Genomic DNA, 19,120 nt, shown 5'->3' with positions numbered 1-19,120 from the left:
AAGCAGGTATTAGCAGTACACCATCACCTAGAATATTATTACTAAATTCTTTACAGTACTAAACTTCACAAAAACTTCACAGTACTAAATTATACTCACTCTGAGCGGAGCCGGGCTTCCATACCATCTGGTAGAAAAAGTTTTATTGTGGAAACAATACACCCATGGGTAACTGGTTGAAACAAACAAATAATATGGATGAAATAATTGTTTAAAAATATAAAACTTCACACCTCTCATATGTAAACATAGTTTATTCTTAAAAGTAACAATTTCTCAGAAAGAAAATAAAGCTAGTGGTTTAATGACATTATTACCCTGGAGAAACTCATCTTGTCCATAACGAATCACAATTTCAAGGTAGAAATAAGGATAGAATCATTTTGAAAAGTGTCTTAATCTCCAATTCTGTAATAATAGTCAATAAAAAGTCAGTTGAATATATGGAAATAAAATTGTGAGGGGGAAATACACTTTTCCCCATCTGCCAGTATCAAACATAAGGTCTGACTATTCCCAAATTTAAAATATAGTTCTTATTCCAAATCTTCCCTTCCCCAACCTATTACACACCTAACCACACCTCACAAAACTCTAAAGTTCTGCATAATACAGTTGAGAAATGCCACTCAATCCCCCATTTTATGGGTGAGAAAACCAAGACCTCAGACAAGTGAAACTGCTTCCACAATTCTCTGCTATTAAGTATCAGAATTGTTTGCTAGTGTCTCATGTTTCCATTTCAATATTTAAAATTTTGTTTTGTTTTCTTGATAGTTGTTTCTTCCTCCACCCCCAAAATGACATCAGTACAGTCCCTTTGTAGACAGCTTCTCACTGTTGCATCTTACTTCCTCCTTTTCCTATTGAAGATTTTAAGAGACAAAACTCCTGAAAGTAGCACTTGTACAGAGTTTCTCTATATGTGGGTTTAATTTTAAAAAATTGTTTTCTGGCTTGAAGGTTGACGGTTTTTTATTTCTCTTTATTCTTCAAATACTGTATTACATTTTCCAGAGTTCAAAGAATTATTTATTTCACTAAGCTCTGATTAAAAACTAATGCAGGCTGATGAGAATACACTACATCATGATTAGGGGAGTGGTGGTTATGAGACCATATATATTTGTCAAAACTCACTGAATTGTACATGTAAAATTGTGTTATACGTAAATTATATCTCAACAAAACTGAATTTTAAGAATAGAGCTAATGTTGGCCGGGCATGGTGGCTCACGCCTGTAATCCCGGTACTTTGGGAGGCCAAAGTGGATGGATCACCTGAGGTCAGGAGTTTGAGACCAGCCTGGCCAACATGGTGAAACCTCTCTACTAAAAACACAAAAATTAGGCCGGGCTCAGTGGCTCACGCCTGTAATCCCAGTACTTTGGGAGGCCGAGGCAGGTGGATCACCTGAGGTCAGGAGTTTGAGACCAGACTGGCCAACATGGCAAAACCCCTCTACTAAAAATATAAAACTTAGGCTGGGCACAGTGGCTTACGCCTGTAATCCCAGCATTCTGGTAGGCTGAGGTGGGCAGATCACCTGAGGTCAGGAGTTCGAGACCAGCCTGGCCAACATGGCAAAACCCCTCTACTAAAAATACAAAAATTAGGCCAGGCATGGTGGCTTATGCCTGTAATCCTAGCACCTTGGGAGGCCGAGGCAGATCACCTGAGGTCAGGAGTTCAAGACCAGCCTGCTCAACATGATGGTGGGTGCCTGTAATCCCAGCTACTCAGGAGGCTGAGGTGGGAGAATCGCTTGAGCCTGGGAGGCAGAGGTTGCAGTGAGCCAAGATCACGCCACTGCACTCCAGCCTGGGCGACAGAGTGAGACTCCATCCCAGAAAAAAACAAAAATAGCCGGTATGGTGGCAGGTGCCTGCAATCCCAGCTACTCGGGAGGCTGAGGCCAGCAGAACTGCTTGAACCTGGGAGGCGAAAGTTGCAGTGAGCCGAGACCATGCCACTGCACTCCAGCCTGGGTGACAGAGCGAGACTCCATCTCAAAAAAAAAAAAAAAAAAAAAAAATAGAGCTAATGCATTTGGGGATATTAAATGATCAGGCCGACGAATCATCAAGATGATATTATAAACATGAAGTAATATGACTGTCATCTGGAAATGCACATTAAAATTAAGGAATTTAACACCATGTATTCAATATTGATTTTCATTACTAATTGATTATATAAAAAGTGCTAACACAGATCAAGAACCATCTATTGGCAGGGCACAGTGGCTCACACCCCTAATCCCAGTGCTGTGGGAGGCTGAGGTGGGGGGATCACTTGAGTTCAGCTTGGGCAACATAGTGAGACCCACTCTCTACAAAAAATTTTAAAATTAGCAGGGTGGGGGTGGTGCACACCTGTACCCAGCTACTCAGGAGGCTAAGGCTGGGGGATCGCTTGAGCCTGGGAGTTCGAGGCTACAGTGACCCATGATCACACCACTGCACTCCAGCTGGGCAAGACCCTGTCTCAAAAACACAAACAAACAAACAACAATAAAAAACAGAACCATCTATTGGCAGTCTTCTAAACTCTGCCCAGCACAATAACCATGGCCATGAACCACTGGGCTCCTTCATTCCTGTCTGACCTCATCCTCTATCCTGCTACGAAGGATATCCTATACAAAGCCAAGCTACCTGCGATCTCCAAGCACTTTACCTTTCACAGCCCCATGCCTTTTACACAGGCTGTCCCTTCTGTAAGCAATGTTTTTATCCTCTCGCCTGCATGACCATGTGCTACTTAGTCTCCAGGCTCAGATTTTCTAATTCCTTCACCAAAGCTCAGTATCTGGGTAAGATGTCCCCAGAGCCTCCTATATCTATTTCTTAAAACATTAAGCACATTGCATTGTGAATATTTACGATTTACAGAAACTGTTGTCTCACCAATTAGATTCAACTCTTTGAGGGCATCAAGGATTATCTGCTTCTCAGTTTAAAAACCTGTGTACTTAGCAGAGTCATCTGGTACAGAAAGCATTTTACTGAAGATGTTGAGGAACATGCCTGCTTAGTATTTTATAGCTCCCATTACTCCTGTGCAAAGATGTTTCTTACTTTTAAGACATTAGGGTTCATCTCTATTTGTAGGAACCACCTAGCTTTCTCCTTTCCCAGGCAAAAGACAGAAGAGATGGATTTCTCTCTCTTATGATAAATGAGTTTCTAGAGGATGGCTCCTCAAGACATTCACTATAAATAGCCTATAATAAATACAGGAGCATAATACAACATGAAGATCCAGCAATACCTACACTTTAATTTGGTAGAAAGTTGTTTTTTTAAAAAAGAAAAATAGGTAGAACAAGTTATAGAATAAAACTAGTTCCAGAGGTGACAACCTGTGATATACAACATCAGTAATTCTGTTGTTCAGACACATTACCCTGAAAGTTCAGCAAATGAGCTGATGCGCAAATCTATGAGATGAACCAAGGGCTAATATTGACTGGGCAGTACAGAGTTGCTGCACAGTTGAAGGCAATTTAAAAAACAAAAACAAAAATAACCCACGTCTGACTAAGCTCACAATTTAGTCCAGTCAACGATGCCTTTAATGTGATTCTCATGACAACCAGATACACACATGCATAGACATGTTATCCTTTTGATTTGCAACAGGCAAGTAATTAAAGCAACCTGATGAAAATATTTTGTTCTAATACTTATATTAATCAACTACACATAGCAGCATTTCCCAAAATGCTAGCAAGTGTTACAAAAAAGGATCTGAGGGTCTGATGAGTTTGGGAAATGCTTGGTTTAAAAGAGATTTAGGGGCCAGGCACAGTGGCTCACGCCTGTAATCCCAGTACTTTGGGAGGCCGAGGTAGGCAGATCACGAGGTCAGGAGAGAGAGACCATCCTGGTTAACACAGTGAAACCTTGTCTCTACTAAAAATACAAAAAAATTAGCCGGACGTGGTGGTGGGTGCCTGTAGTCCCAGCTACTAGGGAGGCTGAGGCAGGAGAATGGCAAGAACCCAGGAGGCAGAGCTTGCAGTGAACCGAAATCGTGCCACTGCACTCCAGCCTGGCCAACAGAGTGAGACCTTGTCTCAAAAAACAAACAAACAAACAAACAAAAGATAGATGAAGATTAATGGGACATTCTCAAATTTACTCAACCAATATGTTCCAGGTTGTGTGTGGAGATTCTACAGTGAAGACAGACACACTTCCTATAGTTGCACAGCTTACAGTTTAGTGAGGGCAGTAAACACATAAAAGGGATGAGTACAGGGTACAACAGGGGCATGGAGTGGGCACCTTGTCCAGCCCTGAGGATCAAGAAAGGTTTCTAGGCATAGGAAAAAGCATGTGCAAGGGCTTGAAGGCCATGTCTATTAGGGGGAGTAAAAGTAATTCAGTGCAGTTGAAGCACAATGCCAAAGGAAGATACACCATTGACTTTGCTCTTTATAGGCCCTTTGTTCACAGGAGCTTAACTAAGAAAAAGATATTGGTGATGAAGGCCTGAAGTAATAAGCTGACTGAAGTTACATGTGTTCACAGAACTAACTGGCCCCAAGCTTTGCAAGAGAGGGTTACTGTAATAATGTGTGACCCAGAAAACTCACTCTTTAAGCAGTTTGTGGGTCCAGGAAAAGAGGAGTGGCCAGTGGTTAGGTTAGTAAACCTTGGCTTTCTCACTTTCTTCCTTTCTTTTAAAAAATCTATTAGAATGTCAGCTCTTTGTTTACAATAATATTTTATCAGTATAGAGCAGCTTATGTGTACATGCCTGACCATTGAGTTTTCTCCTTGAAGCCATACACAAAGAATGCCAAACATCAAAATCAGATTGTTGGTGGGGTCCAGTGGCTCAAGCCTTTAATCCCACCACTTTGGGAGACTGAGGCAGGAGGATCACTTGAGGCCAGGAGTTCGAGACCAGCCTGGGTAACACAGTGAGGCCCCATCTCTATAAATTAAAAAAATTTAAAAAACAGATTGTTTTGGATTGCTAAGAACAGAAATGACACTAATATGAACCGATATGTTCAGTGGTATTAGGCTCATGTTACCTTTTTAACAAAATCCTGATACACACACATACAATCTTACATATTATATATATTCTTTTTCTGAAATTTTTTAACATATACACAAATTAGTTTATATAAATACATAAATGTCCTACATACTGGGTGATTTTTTAATTGTAGTTCTAGTAACCTTTCCCTTTTAATTTGGCTCCCTCTTCTCCTCTATTCCTTCTTCCCTCCCACCCACACTCCTGGACGACTCACATTAAAGATCTAGAGATATATATGTCTAACATATATGTATTTATAGGGATTGGTGAGACTATTTTAAATAATGAAATTATTAAAAACAATTGATTCTTTCTTTACTCAACATTATATCTTATAGAAATCCCTGCAATTAATATAATTTTTTCTTTTTAATACCTGTAAAATGGGGAGTTTTAAAATTATGCTTCCATTGTTTTTAGTATGATACACACTGATGCCAAAAACATCCTTTCATAAATCCTATTTATCATTCACATGTATACAAATGTACTTTATTATAAGTGTATTCAAAAGCACTATATAGTATTGTTTTGCAGGCATTCATGCTTTCTGTAAATGGTTACACTATACAAATCCTTCGACAGTTTGCTTGAGATAAAGTTTGAGATTTATCTTGTTTATATATGCAAATTTAGTCCATACATTTTCACAGCTGTATAGTATTTTGCTATTTTTTATTCTATTTTACTTAACATTTTTATTTTACTTAGTTTTCTTTTCATCCTATTTATTTAGAATTTTTATTAGGGGTAACTTCTAAATTTGATCAAATGCCTTTTCAGTATCTCTGGTTATTCAGCGACACAACTACTGATTATACAGTTGCATGGTCTTTCTACTTTAGTCTGTGGATTATGTTGATAGACTGCCTGATACTGACTCATCTTGGCATTTCTGGAATAAATCCTACTTTGTTGTTTATTCTAGCTTTATTTCTGAATTTAATTTGTTAATATCTTTTGTTTTTAGAGACAAGGCTGGAGTGCAATGGCATGAACAGGGCTCACTGCAGCCTCAACTTCCTGGGCTCAAGTGAAGTGATCCTCCCACCTCAGCCTCTGGAGTAGCTGAGACAAGTGCAAGCTGCCAGGCCCACAGCTAATTAAAAAAAATTTGGGGGCCAGGGGAGCGGGTAGAGACAGTGTCTCCCTATGTTGCCCAGGCTGGTTTGAACTCCTGGGCTCAAGGGCTCCTCCTACTTCAGCCTCCCAAAGTGCTGGGATTACAGGTGGGAGCCACTGTGTCTGGCCTAATAGCATTTTTTTTTTTTTTTTTTTTTTTTTTTTGAGACAGGGTCTGGCTCTGTTGCTCAGGCTGGAGTGCAGTGGTGCGGTCATGGCTCACTGCAATCTCTGCCTCCCAGGCTCAAGCCATCCTCCCACTTCAGTCTCCCAAGTAGCTGGGACTACAGGCGTGCGCCACCACGCCCAGCTGATTCTTGCATTTTTGGTAGAGATGGGGTTTCACCATGTTGCCCAGGCTGGTATCAACCTACTTGGCTCAAGCAATCCACCTGCCTCAGACTCCCAAAGTGCTAGGATTACAGGCATGAGCCACTATGCCAAACCCTGGCCTAGTATCTTAATTGAAATTTTTCATCTATTGTTATAAATAAAATTAATTATAGTTTTCTTTTTTGTATCTATATCTTTATCAGATTTTCACATTAATGATATGCTAGGTTCTTTAAAGGATTCTGAAAGCTTTCCATCTTTATGTTTGGAATTACTTAAATAACACAGGGTTTATCTGTTTTTTAAAAACAGAGGGATCAGCTGTAAATCCCTCTGTTTCTGGTGTCTTTTCAATGGTGAATCTTTAATAACTTTTTAGTCTCTTTCAAAAACAATCAATTAATCAAATTTTTCCACTTCTTGAGATAATTTTGCTAGGAAAACATCAATTTACTCTAATTTTTTCTTTTCTCTTTGCCATAGATAGCCATATAAGATTCTCTTATTATTCTTGTAGTATATCCTGTATTTGTGTTTTATTTCTCCTTTCTCATTTCTCATCTTGTATATTTTCGCTAGTATTTTTAACTTAATGCATTACGGTTTATTAATTACCTTGTTCACTGTTTGTTTTCTTTTTATTAATAAAAGAACCAGCATCTGGGTTTGTTTATCCCTTGTAGAATTTTTTGTTTCATTAATTTCTGCTTTTATTTCTCCTTTTCAGATTCTTTTACTTATTCGTTTTCTAATTTCTTCTGATTAGTGTCAGATTTCTTAATTGTCTTTCTTCTTTAACATGAATGGAATTTAAGATTATTAATTTTATCTGACTAAAAGACTTACTGTATTTTGGCATAAAAGTCTCCTCTCTTTACAATACAGTGTGAAATTTCCCTTTTGATTTCCTCTTTGATCCAGGGGTTATCTAGTAGTGTTGCATAATTTCAGGAGCATTCTCCAAGTGATACAAAAGTTATCACAGCACTGTTTAGCATAGGATAAAAATCAATACTTTTTTTCTGGTATGTCCTTAAACAGGTAGTACTCAACTGGTGACACAGCTGTATCCCAAGAGCCCGTGCTTAACATAAGTCAACTTTTTGAAGCCAGTAAGTACCAAAAGAAACAACATTTTAAATGTTGCAAGTTTTTTTTTTTTTAAATCTAATCTCCTTAAAGTTAGCATAAAAGATAAATCAAATTTCACAGAAGACTGTAAAAATCTAATGTTACTGGCCAGGCGTGATGGCTTAGCCTGTAATCCCAGCACTTTGGGAGGCTGAGATGGGCAGATCACGAGGTCAAGAGAACGAGACCATCCTGGCCAACATGGTGAAACCCCGTCTCTACTAGAAATACAAAAATTAGCTGGGCATGGTGGCATGCACCTGTAGTCCCAGCTACTCGAGAGGCTGAGGCAGGAGAATCACTTGAGCCCGGGAGACAGGTTGCAGTGACTGGAGATGGTGCCACTGCACTCCAGCCTGGCAACAGAGTGAGACTCCGTCTCAAAAAAAAAAAACTAATGTTACTAAAATAAGATTATACTAAGAGGAACCTTGAATCTCAGGGTCATCTTCTTAGCTTTCTATAGCATTTTCTAAAGAGTATCCCTCACAGATAGACCCTCACAGATAGATGGGAAAAAACAGTGGAAAGGAGTTTGGAAAGAGTTGCATTCTATAATGGCCACCTCCTTGGAAATCTGCATATATGTTAGCATATTAAAAGCTCCAAGAAGTCCTGCTTATCTTACCTAAGTATTCTCTAAATGTATTTCATTACCTCATCCTTTTTGTCAATCAACACCTAATAATTCCCTTTAGGAAATGCAAGCCAAGAAGACAGACATTCCTTGGAGAGAAAGACAATGTAATCAAATTCTCTTTTTCTCTATGGGTTACTCACAGTTGGGGTTCCATTTAATGAGCTCGGTTTACTGTTTGCTGAATGACTTGTAGGTGTGATATGGCAACAGCAGATATAGGAGTGTCTAATGCAGCTGTTCCCAGTATGGTCATATATAAGTTGAATTCTCTTAGTAAGAAGTGTCAATATTCTTTACCAAAATACAAACCTTTCTTTTTTGGTTTACAATTGTAAATGGAAATTCCTAAGATGTTGGCCCTGCCCAAATTCAAATATCAAAACCTAACTTTCTGAGGAGGCCAAAAAAACCCATTAAAAATAATACTGCTGTTGCAATACCAGTGAAAGTATATGCATAAATATGCATATGAACACACACACACCAGCATCATCAGCATTATCATCATCACCACCATCACCATCTCTACTATGCAAAATTCTGACCAGTATCACCAGATCAGAGTATGTTCAGACAAATGAAAGGAGAAACTTGCCAAATGGTTGCACTATCCATATTAAACTAATGAAGTGGAACTAAACACTTATGGTTTTTATCCATTTAGTTTTATGATTTAGCTATATAATTTCATGGTCATAAAGAAGACCGTGAACTAGGTAGAGGCAGGAAGCTTCTGAATTGTAAAAACAAAGATCAATCTACATTTATTTAGCTAAAGAACTTTCAAAAATTGTGAGACATTAAATTTTATTTTATACTTGTGATAGCTACTATTAGCTGCCTACCTCTACTACCTTTCCATCTTCTTTCTTGCTAAGAGAGCTCTAATTTTGTTTGGGGTAACAATGTACACACAACCTGAAGGAATAAATCAAAACTGATCTATGTCAATCATAGATCTTCTTGCTCCCTTTCACGAGATTAAGTAACTTCACCAGACTTCTTTGTAGCTGCAGGTAACTATGTATGCGATCTACCCATGTGGCCAGTGAGACCTAAGGAGAAATCTGCTGGGAGGATTCTGCAAAAGATTGTTCTTTCAACATAAGAAGAGAGCCACACAAGAAGGCATTTTATCCCCGCCTCATCCTTTTTGCCTAGGATACTGGTGTGAGGAAAATGATGCCTGGGGCTTGCAGCCATCATCTTATGACCATGAAGCAACAACCAAAAGCATGAGAAACTAAAATGTTTAAGACAGTAGAACAGGAAGACAGTAAGACCCTGGATCCCTGATGATCTCATTGAGTCAACTGAACAAATGAACCTATCTGCCTCCAGATCTCTCATTAAGTCTCATCATCAATAATAAATATCCTGTGATTTAAGCTTGTCTTGGTGGGGTATGCTGTCATTGCAGCTGACTGGTCCCTGACTGTGATGAAGAATATAAACTACTAAATAACACTTCAGAATTTAAAATTTTAGAAGAGCAATACGGAAAGTATGAGACTTTTAACTTTTCACTGTATATAATGCTGTATTTAAATCGCTTTCACAAGCATGTAATGTTTCATAATGTCAAGTAAGATAATAAAAAATTAAATAACCTTTAAAAGACAAGTAATAAAAAAAGTGATCCATACCCGTACCTTTCCGTGTATTCTCTGTCACGTCTACTCCAAACTGGATAATGTCACCGGAAAGAATTTCACATGGTGGACTTTCTTCAGAGCCTCGACTCAATCTCTGGCTATTTATAAAAGTACCATTACTACTTTTAGTGTCTTGAAGATAAAACTGCAAAAAAAAACAAAAACAAAAAAGGGCCAAATATTAATAGTAATAATTCCAAATGTACTTTTTAAAAAAATGCTTCCAGCTTTGCCAACTATTGCAAGTGAATTTTTCCCCTATTAATTCAAACCACTCATTTCAGCTAAGGTTCTCCTTTAATATATATGAAATTAGAATCTGAAAACTAGGTGATTTAAAATTCAGCTACATAAAACGGTACAACCTCTTTGGAAAAAGAGTTTGTCAGGTCCTCAAAATGTTAAACATAAAGTTAGTATACAACTCAGCAATTCCACTCCTAGGTATACATCCAAGAGAACTAAAAACATGTTCTCATAAAAACTTCTACACAAATGTTGGCATTATTCATAATAGCCAAAAAGGGAAAATAATCCAACTATCCATCAACTGATAAATGAATAAACAAATGTGGTAGACATTCATATAACTGAATATTATTTGGCAATAAAGGGGTGAAGTATTGATAACATGCTATAACATGAATGAACGTTTAAAACATTATGTGAAGTAAAAGAAGTCAGTCACAAAAGACTGATGTATTATAATGATTCATTTTATATGAAACATCCAGAATAGGCAAAGCTATACAGACAAAAAGTACATGAGTGCTTACAAAAGGCTGAAGTGGCAGGTAGGAATGGGATGGGTACAAGGTTTCTTTTTGAGATGATGAAAATATTCTAAAATTAGTGGTGATGGTTGTCCAAATTTGCTTCTCATCACTTGGGTAACCCTCCCTCTTTAAAAACAGAAAGGATAGCAGGAGGCACAAGAAGCCTACCTATTTATCACTTACAAATCCTTAAAAATTTCAGCACAACTGGGATCACACACAATAGACTTACTAGGAAGAGAACCACCAGTAAAAAAAGACGTACCTTTCTTTTTCGATTTTTCTACACTCTTCAGCCCTACTTATTTTAGTAACACATTTTCGCTGAATTTCTTCCTAAGGAAGAAAGGTAAAAAGACACCTAATACACTATATATCAAAATATACTTTTGCCATCAGGCCCTCATTTAACATTAAAGCTATGATAAAGATATTACTATTTTAGGCCAGGTGTGGTGGCTCACGCCTGTAATCCCAGAACTTTGGGAGGCTGAGGCGGGCAGATCACTTGAGGTCAGAGGTTCGAGACCAGCCTCGCCAACATGGTGGTGTATGGTGGTGTGGTGGCACGTGCCTGTAATCCCAGCTACTTGGGAGGCTGAGGCAGGAGAATCACCTGAACCCGGGAGGCAGAGGTTGCAGTGAGCCAAGATCGTGCCCCTGCACTCCAGCCTGGACAACAGAGCGAGACTCCATCTCAAAAACAAACAAACAAACAAAAAAAGATATTACTACTTTCATTTATAAAGGAAAAAAGTGAGATGCAGGTATATTAAGTATCTTTCAAAAGTCACAGAACTGGGGAACACAGAAGCAAGAGTTCAAATAAGAAAATTAAAAGGGCCATTTTTCCTCATTACTTCACAGGGGACACAGACTTTATGTTTCATTTATCCTTCACCCCTCCCACAGCTCTCTTCCAAAATTAAATACAACTAAAGACTAAGAAGCAATCTGCAGAAAATGTTCAAATTACATTTCATTTCATTAATTGGTAGCTGACAATATAAAGGCCACTAGGCTGTCTATAAATGACTTATTCTCTGTTTATAATTCAAAATAGACCAACTGTTACTTTGATTAGCAGTTTGTATATCTAATTACAGACGATTAATTAGAAAATTGTGTTGATATTTTAAATACATTTGAAACTTACAGGACTTAACATTTCACCCAGGGAGATAAGGACAGACAATACTTTCAAGTAGGAATATTTACCCTCAAAATTTTTTCTACACTGGAACTTAATGTTACATTGTATAAGAGAGTTTTTTTTTTAATAAATATATTCTTGGGAAATGTGGTAATGTCTGGATTCTGGTCAGGTTATTTTTAGTAATATGTGCCTGGGCAAGTTAAATAAGGGGATTATATGATATTTACAGTGGTTTTCAAACTTCAAGTTCTGATACATTAGTGGGTTACTAAGCCAATTTAGTGAGTTGCAACTAGCATTTTTTAAAAAAACATAAAATGGAACAGAATAAAAATAAAGAATACATGAAAAAAGGTTTATTACTGTTTAACAACACTGTTGAAAAACAAAAAGAAATATATGTACATATATATACAACATATATATGTATGTATATCAACACCTCATGTTTGTAGCTTCTATATAACTCTAAAACCACAACATATTTTCAAATTTAAAAGGTTTTACATCAGGGCCCAGACACAGTGGCTCATGTCTGTAATCTCAGCACTTCGGGAGGCCAAGGTGGGAGAATCACTTGAGCCCAGGAGTTCAAGACCAGCCTGGGCAACAAAGTGAGACCCCATCCCTACAAAAAAATACAAAAAATCAGCTGGGCATGGTGGTGCAGGCCTGTAGTCCCAACTACTCGGGAGGTTGAGCTGGGAGGATGGCTTGAGCCCTGGGAGGTTGCGGCTGCAGTGAGCCATAATCATGCCACTATACTCCAGCCTGAGCAACAGCATGAACTCCTGTCTCAAAAAAAATTTTTTTTCTTACATCAATATCAACCCAGGTTCTTTTCATTCTGACATGTCTATATTACCGTCCAAAGCATACCATGGTACCTTTGGCCTCCGTTTAGCTTGAACATATAATTTATATTAGTTGCTCGTTCTTCTTCTGCTTTCAACCTGCTAATGGCTTTCAAACACCTTAGAATAAAATCCGAAGTCCTTACCATTGTAGCCCTACAGGATCTGGTCCTGGTTCCCTCACAACTCAATCACTCCCACTCTTTTCCTTCTGCATCCTTTTCAGTTACACTAACTTCTATTCATCCCCCTAACCCTCTGTACTTGTATACAGCTACAGCACATTAGTTTAGTTCTCTACAGAAATATTTTCATTTATATAATTTAACCTTTTGCCCTTGGCTGTTTTGAAAGATTGACATATTAAAAAAAAGATTCTGTACCTCCTGTAAAACAATTTACCATTAATCAGTCTACATTATGTATAGAAGTTATTCTGTTTACTATCAGGTTAGGTTTCTAAGGTATAAAAATGTTAAACTAGGCTGGGCATGATGGCCTACGTTTGTAATCCCAGCACTCTGGGAGGCCAAAGCGGGTGGATCACCTGAGGTCAGGAGTTTGAGACCACCCTGGCCAACATGGTGAAACCCCATCTCTACTAAAAACACAAAAAATTAGCTGGGCATGGTGGTGCACGCCTGTTATCCCAGCTACTCGGCGGCAGTGAGGGGCTGAGACAGGAGAATTGCTTGAATCTGGGGGGCAGAGGTTGCTGTGAGCTAAGATCGTGCCACTGCACACTTCAGCCTGGGCAATAGAGTGAGACTCTGTCTCATAAATAAATAAATGTTAAACTGTTTGCAAGGGCCTAGAAAGGGAGTATGCTTATAGTCCCTGGGTACATTTCCAGCAAGTAGATATATTACTTGATCCTTTGTCAAATTCAAACCAGAAATATCCTTCTCCTCTATGCTGATAACCTTCTTCTATCAGGCTTTTATTCCCTCCTCTTAAAAGGAGTTTTGACCACATTAAAAAAGAAATAAAGAATCTGTTGAAGTCTTAACTATCTTTCTTTCCCAGTAGCCTAAGGAATGTCCTAGCAGCTGTAGTATTTGCATTAGCCACCAGACATTCACTTTGATGTTGAGCAGGTGAGTAAGGAGCTCTGAATTTAAAAACCCTGTGTGGCTTAAGGTGAAAGTTCAACAGCAGCACTTTCATTGTTTTAAGGTTTTAATTCTTTGATCAACTCCTTGCTTTCCCTGAATAAACTTTAAGTTCCCAACAATCAGGCATTGATGGTGATCCTTGAATTGAAAGGTTTACCCCTGTCTCATCAGTCACTTTTCCTTGTCTCTTGCTGATTAACTTCAATGACACAGGAACAGCACTTCACAGGTTGCACAATTTGCTCTTTGACCTTCAGAAAGTTCCTGCTATAGATGAATTCATTCCATAAATACATACATTTTGCATCACTTTCAACTTTGCTACAATCTGTAAATATTTTCATTTCCATTATAATGATACACTGATTCTTTTTAACTCTTTCTACATTGATAGGTTTTGCAATATCCAAACACCAACAGATGAATAACATTTGAAGTAAAGCTTCAGAACAAAGCACAAATATAGTAGACACACCACAGGCCAGGGGCCACAAACTCTAAGTCCATATAGGGGAGTTCTTAAGATATGAATGCAGAATAGATTCGAGGTAGATAGCAGATACTGCAACAAAAATTTTTAATCTCCTTGAATCACCACCTAAAATCAGAGTGACTAAGATAGCAAAACCAAAATCCCATGGGAAACATTTGTAACAAAAGTAGGTGACACAGTACCCACACAAACCCCAAAATAAGAGTGGGGAAGACCACCAAAAGCCACAAGACCTGCATGGAATCAGCATCTGTGCAGAAGGATACGTAAGGAAACAAAGGGGGCATTTGGGGGACTTGAGGACAACACCAAAATAGCTATTAGGTGTTCACTGGACAGTATGGAGGCCAACTGAAGAAAAGCTGGAAATGGGAATGGTGTGGCTCAATCCAATAACAAGTGAGTGCAGGGTAAGTTCCTAAAAAGGCTGGAACAGTCTGAGCCATATAAATTCTTAAAACCAACCTACCAACCAAAGCTACCTTCCAGGAATGGGCTCCAAACTGAGGGAAAACTGCTGGGAGTGGAACCAAAATTAAGCAGAACAGGGACAATAGAGACAAGGAAAGAAAAGGTTCAGATAAAAGTTGAGAAGGGGAAAGGAAGCCACCATATTTTTAAACATTTTACAAAAACAACAGAAGAGGGAGCTCTGTGAATTAGAAAAGTTATCCTGAACCATGACCCCTTTTTAAAGTTCAGGAAAACCAATTTCATATAAAAATTAGCAACAGAAATGTATCAAGGTCACATCCATACAGTTATTTTAAGAAAAAAGAGAATAAGGAGCAGAATAGTATCTTTACAGATAATGAAAAACAGACCTTGGGAAGAGATCAAAACTGTAAACTTCTATTTCAAAACAAGCTAAAAGACATTAGAAAAATAATTCAAGACATGAAAGAGCAAAATAAATCACAATTATACAACTCAAGAAAAGGTGAAATAACTCAAAAGAATAGAAGTAAAAGGAAAAATTCATTTTAGAAATGAATACAAATTAGAAGGCTCACAAGAGTGATTAAATATAACAAATAATGCCTTAGAGTAAATAAAAGGTTTTAAAAAGGGTAAAATTTTTTAAAACCATAAAGAATGAAGAAAGTGACATCAGCAAAATGCCAGAGTAGGCAGCTCCAAGCTCCCCATAGAAACACTGAAAAACAAGCAGAAACTATCAGAACCAACTTTGTTAAAAGTCTCGAAAACAGTCAAAGGTTTACAGCACCCAAGTAAACGCTGAATCAAGAAAAAGGCAATTAAAATATAGGAAAGCTTTGTGGCATTACTTACCCTAGTCCCATCCCCCTCTCCAGCACAAAATAAGTCTTGGAGACATCAGCCTGCATTCCCAGCGTGGGACACCCTGGTACCTAGTTCCAGAGGGAGCAGAGCAGACCTTAATCACAAATTATTTTGTCTAATTTTCACCTGTCTGGGGCTATAGGAAGAACTGGTGCAAGGCTTTCATCTTTGTTTTGCCTAACTCAGAACTCATCCAAGCTGTAAAAGTGGCTGGCATTGCTTTGTTAAGTGGGATTTACCCTAGGTGGTTCAACTTTAAAAAGGTATTTTATAATATAAAAATGTTTAAATGCCCCACATTTGTAGAAAATGAAAAAAAAAAAAAAAAGAAAACACACAATCATCTCAATGCAGAAAAGGCATTTGATGAAATATAAAATCTTTTCACAATAAAAGCACTCAGAAAGCTAACGTTAGAAGGGAACTTCCTCAACATGATAAAGGGCATTTATAAAAAACCAACAGCTAACATAATACTCAATAGTAAAAGACTGAAAGCATTCCCCATTGAGATCAAGAACAAGACAAGGATGCCGGCTTTCACCACTGCTGTTCAACACTGTACTAGAAGTTTCTTGTCTAGAAAGAATAAAAAAAAAAAAAGGCATTGAAATTGGAAAGGACGAAGTAAACTATGTTTATTCACAGATGACATGATCCTATATATAGAAAACCCCATAGAATTCACATGAAAACTATGAGTTAAACAAATCCAGCAAATTTGCAGCTTACAAGGTTAACACACAAAAAACAGTGTTTCTACATACCAGCAATGAATAATTCAAAAAGGAAATTAAGAAGACAATTCCATTTCCATCTAGAAGAATAAAATACCTATGAATAAATTTAACTGAGGAGGTAAAAGATTTTTACATTTAAAAACTGTAAAATATTGCTGAAAGATATTAAAGATGGTCTAAATAAATATAAAGATGTCCCCATGTTCATGGACTGGAAGTCTTAATACTGTGAAGGTATCAATATTTTCCAAAAAAATCCACAGATCCGGCACAATCCCTATCAAAATTCCAATGACCACCTTTTCTGCAGAAATGGAAAAGTCCATCCTCAAATTCATATGGAAATTGCAAGGGACCTTGAGTAGGCAATATAATCCTGAGAAAGAAGAACAAAGTTGGAAGATGCATATTTCCTGAATTCAAAACTTACTACAGAGGTACAGTAATCAAAACATTGTGTTACCGGCATACGGACAGATATAAAGATCAATGGAATAGAACCTAGAGTCCAGAAATAAATCCAAACATCTACAGCCTAGTGATTTTCAAAGTCCATTCAATGAGGAAAGAATCATCTCTTCAATAAATGATGCTGGGAAAACTGGAGAGACACATGCAGAAAAGTAAAGTTGGACCCCTGCCTCATACCATACACAAAAATGAACTCAAAATAAATTAAAGAGTTAAATATAAAAGCTAAAACCATAAAATACTTTTCGGCCATTATTTCTCTGACTATTTTTTCTGTCCCTTTCTCTCTCTCCTTCTAGGATTACCACAATGCATATGTTGGTAAGCTTGATGTCTTCTCATAAGTCCCTTAGGGTATGTTCATTTCTCTTCAAATTTTTCTCTCTGCTCCTCAGACAGGGTAATTGCAATTGCTTTGTCTTCAAGTTTACTTATTCTTTCTTCTGCCTGTTCAAATCTGCCATTGAACTCTCTACTGAATTATATTTTTTATAATTTTCATCTCTGTACTATGTTTCCCATTGATACATTGTTTTCCTGATTTCCTTTAGTTCTTTGACCATGATTTCCTTCACCTCTGTGGGTATATTTAAGATAAAGTTTTTTTTAATGCAGCCAAAAGACACATGAAAAAATGCTCATCATCACTGGCCATCAGAGAAATGCAAATCAAAACCACAATGAGATACCATCTCACACCAGTTAGAATGGCGATCATTAAAATGTCAGGAAACAACAGGTGCTGGAGAGGATGTGGAGAAATAGGAACACTTTTACACTGTTGCTGGGACTGTAAACTAGTTCAACCATTGTGGAAGTCAGTGTGGCGATTCCTCAGGGATCTAGAACTAGAAATACCACTTGACCCAGCCATCCCATTACTGGGTATATACCCAAAGGATTATAAATCATGCTGCTATAAAGACACATGCACACGTATGTTTACTGCGGCACTATTCACAATAGCAAAGACTTGGAACCAACCCAAATGTCCAACAATGATAGACTGGATTAAGAAAATGTGGCACATATACACCATGGAATACTATGCAGCGATAAAAAATGATGAGTTCATGTCCTTTGTAGGGACATGGATGAAGCTGGAAACCATCATTCTCAGCAAACTATCACAAGGACAAAAAACCAAACACCACATGTTCTCACTCATAGGTGGGAATTGAACAATGAGAACACATGGACACAGGAAGGGAACATCACACACCGGGGACTGTTGTAGGGTGGTGGGAGGAGGGAGGGATAGCATTAGGAGATATACCTAATGTTAAATGACGAGTTAATGGGTGCAGCACACCAACATGGCACATGTATATACATGTAACAAACCTGCACGTTGTGCACATGTACCCTAAAACTTAAAAGTATAATAAAAGAAAAATAAAAAAATAAATTACCCAAATCAGAAAAAAAAAGATAAAGTTTTTGTCTGATAAGTCCAATGTCCGCATTTCCCCAAGGATGGTTTCTGTCCATTTTTCCCCCCAGCAATGGGCCATACTTTCCTCTTTCTTGTATGCTTTTTAATTTTTTCTGGATATTTTGAATACTGTAATGTGGTAACTCTGGAAATCAGGCTCCCTTCTCTCCCCAGGACTGCTGTTGTTACTTGATGAGGGTGGCAGCCAGCCATTTGTTTAAGTGAATTTTCCAACCTATTCTTTGCAAGGATTATACTCCCTGCCATATGTGGTCACTGAAGTCTCTGTTATCTCTGCAGTCATCCAGTGACCTAACACAGATTTCCTTAAGTGCCTGGATCCAATAAGAAAAGGAGTTTGAGGGAATGTGCTGTCTCTTTAAATCTTAAATGGCTAATGCCAAGTAAGTCATTTCAGCTTGTGGGGGTTGAAACAGCTGGCACCTCAGCAATTAAAAATAGCAATCATAATACACAATCCCAATTTTTAAAGGTCCCAAACGCCCACCTGGGGACCAGCAAGTCATACCAGGAACACAGGCAACCATCACCTGGCTGCTACAGGATTGAGGGATGGGAGATGGTAGCTACTATGCCAAACACCAAAACAATGAAATTCTTTGAAACTTACCAGCCTCTTTCCTTATCAAGTACTCCCTTGGATGCTGCAAATGTTCTACTAGACTCCAGAGTTCCAAAATAGTTGCTTCAGACAGTTCATGCGAGCTCAGTAGTTCTTCTGGTGGAGGAATCAATTCAGAGATTCCTACTCTACCTTTTTCCGTGGCATCAGATTAAGAAACTGAGCCTCAGGCATATTAAGCAGAGTGCC

The 19,120-nt window shown here is 38.0% G+C and overlaps 1 protein-coding gene across 48 annotated transcripts in view, besides 2 other annotated features; it reads right to left on the bottom strand.

The window, feature by feature from the left end:
* The window catches only part of SLMAP (sarcolemma associated protein), a 173,705-nt gene that overhangs the window by 88,543 nt on the left and 66,042 nt on the right, over positions 1 to 19,120 (bottom strand). For 30 of the 48 annotated variants that reach the window (XM_017007155.3, XM_047448889.1, XM_017007161.3 and 27 more), the window contains 2 exons: positions 9,941 to 10,088; positions 100 to 172 (listed from right to left, as the gene is read on the bottom strand). In XM_017007155.3, the coding sequence (XP_016862644.1) occupies positions 100 to 172; positions 9,941 to 10,088 (221 nt within the window). Of the gene's footprint in view, positions 1 to 99; positions 173 to 9,934; positions 10,089 to 19,120 lie in introns of all 48 variants that reach the window. The other 18 variants (NR_165328.1, XM_005265456.5, XM_005265468.5 and 15 more) reach the window with 1 other exon arrangement.
* Positions 898 to 947: an enhancer, noted in NCBI's record as "active region_19997". NCBI's record gives its function as "activates an Ori minimal core promoter by ATAC-STARR-seq in GM12878 lymphoblastoid cells {active_cell/tissue: GM12878}" and the evidence as "EXISTENCE:reporter gene assay evidence [ECO:0000049][PMID:35858748]".
* Positions 9,274 to 9,775: an enhancer, noted in NCBI's record as "NANOG hESC enhancer chr3:57817423-57817924 (GRCh37/hg19 assembly coordinates)". NCBI's record gives its function as "activates a minimal SCP1, AML or CMV promoter by ChIP-STARR-seq in naive H9 embryonic stem cells {active_cell/tissue: H9 hESC(naive)}" and the evidence as "EXISTENCE:reporter gene assay evidence [ECO:0000049][PMID:30033119]".

This window comes from Homo sapiens, chromosome 3 (assembly GCF_000001405.40).
Source record: "Homo sapiens chromosome 3, GRCh38.p14 Primary Assembly".
Taxonomy (NCBI): Eukaryota; Metazoa; Chordata; class Mammalia; order Primates; family Hominidae; genus Homo; species Homo sapiens.
This window is presented reverse-complemented; position numbering and strand designations above follow the sequence as displayed.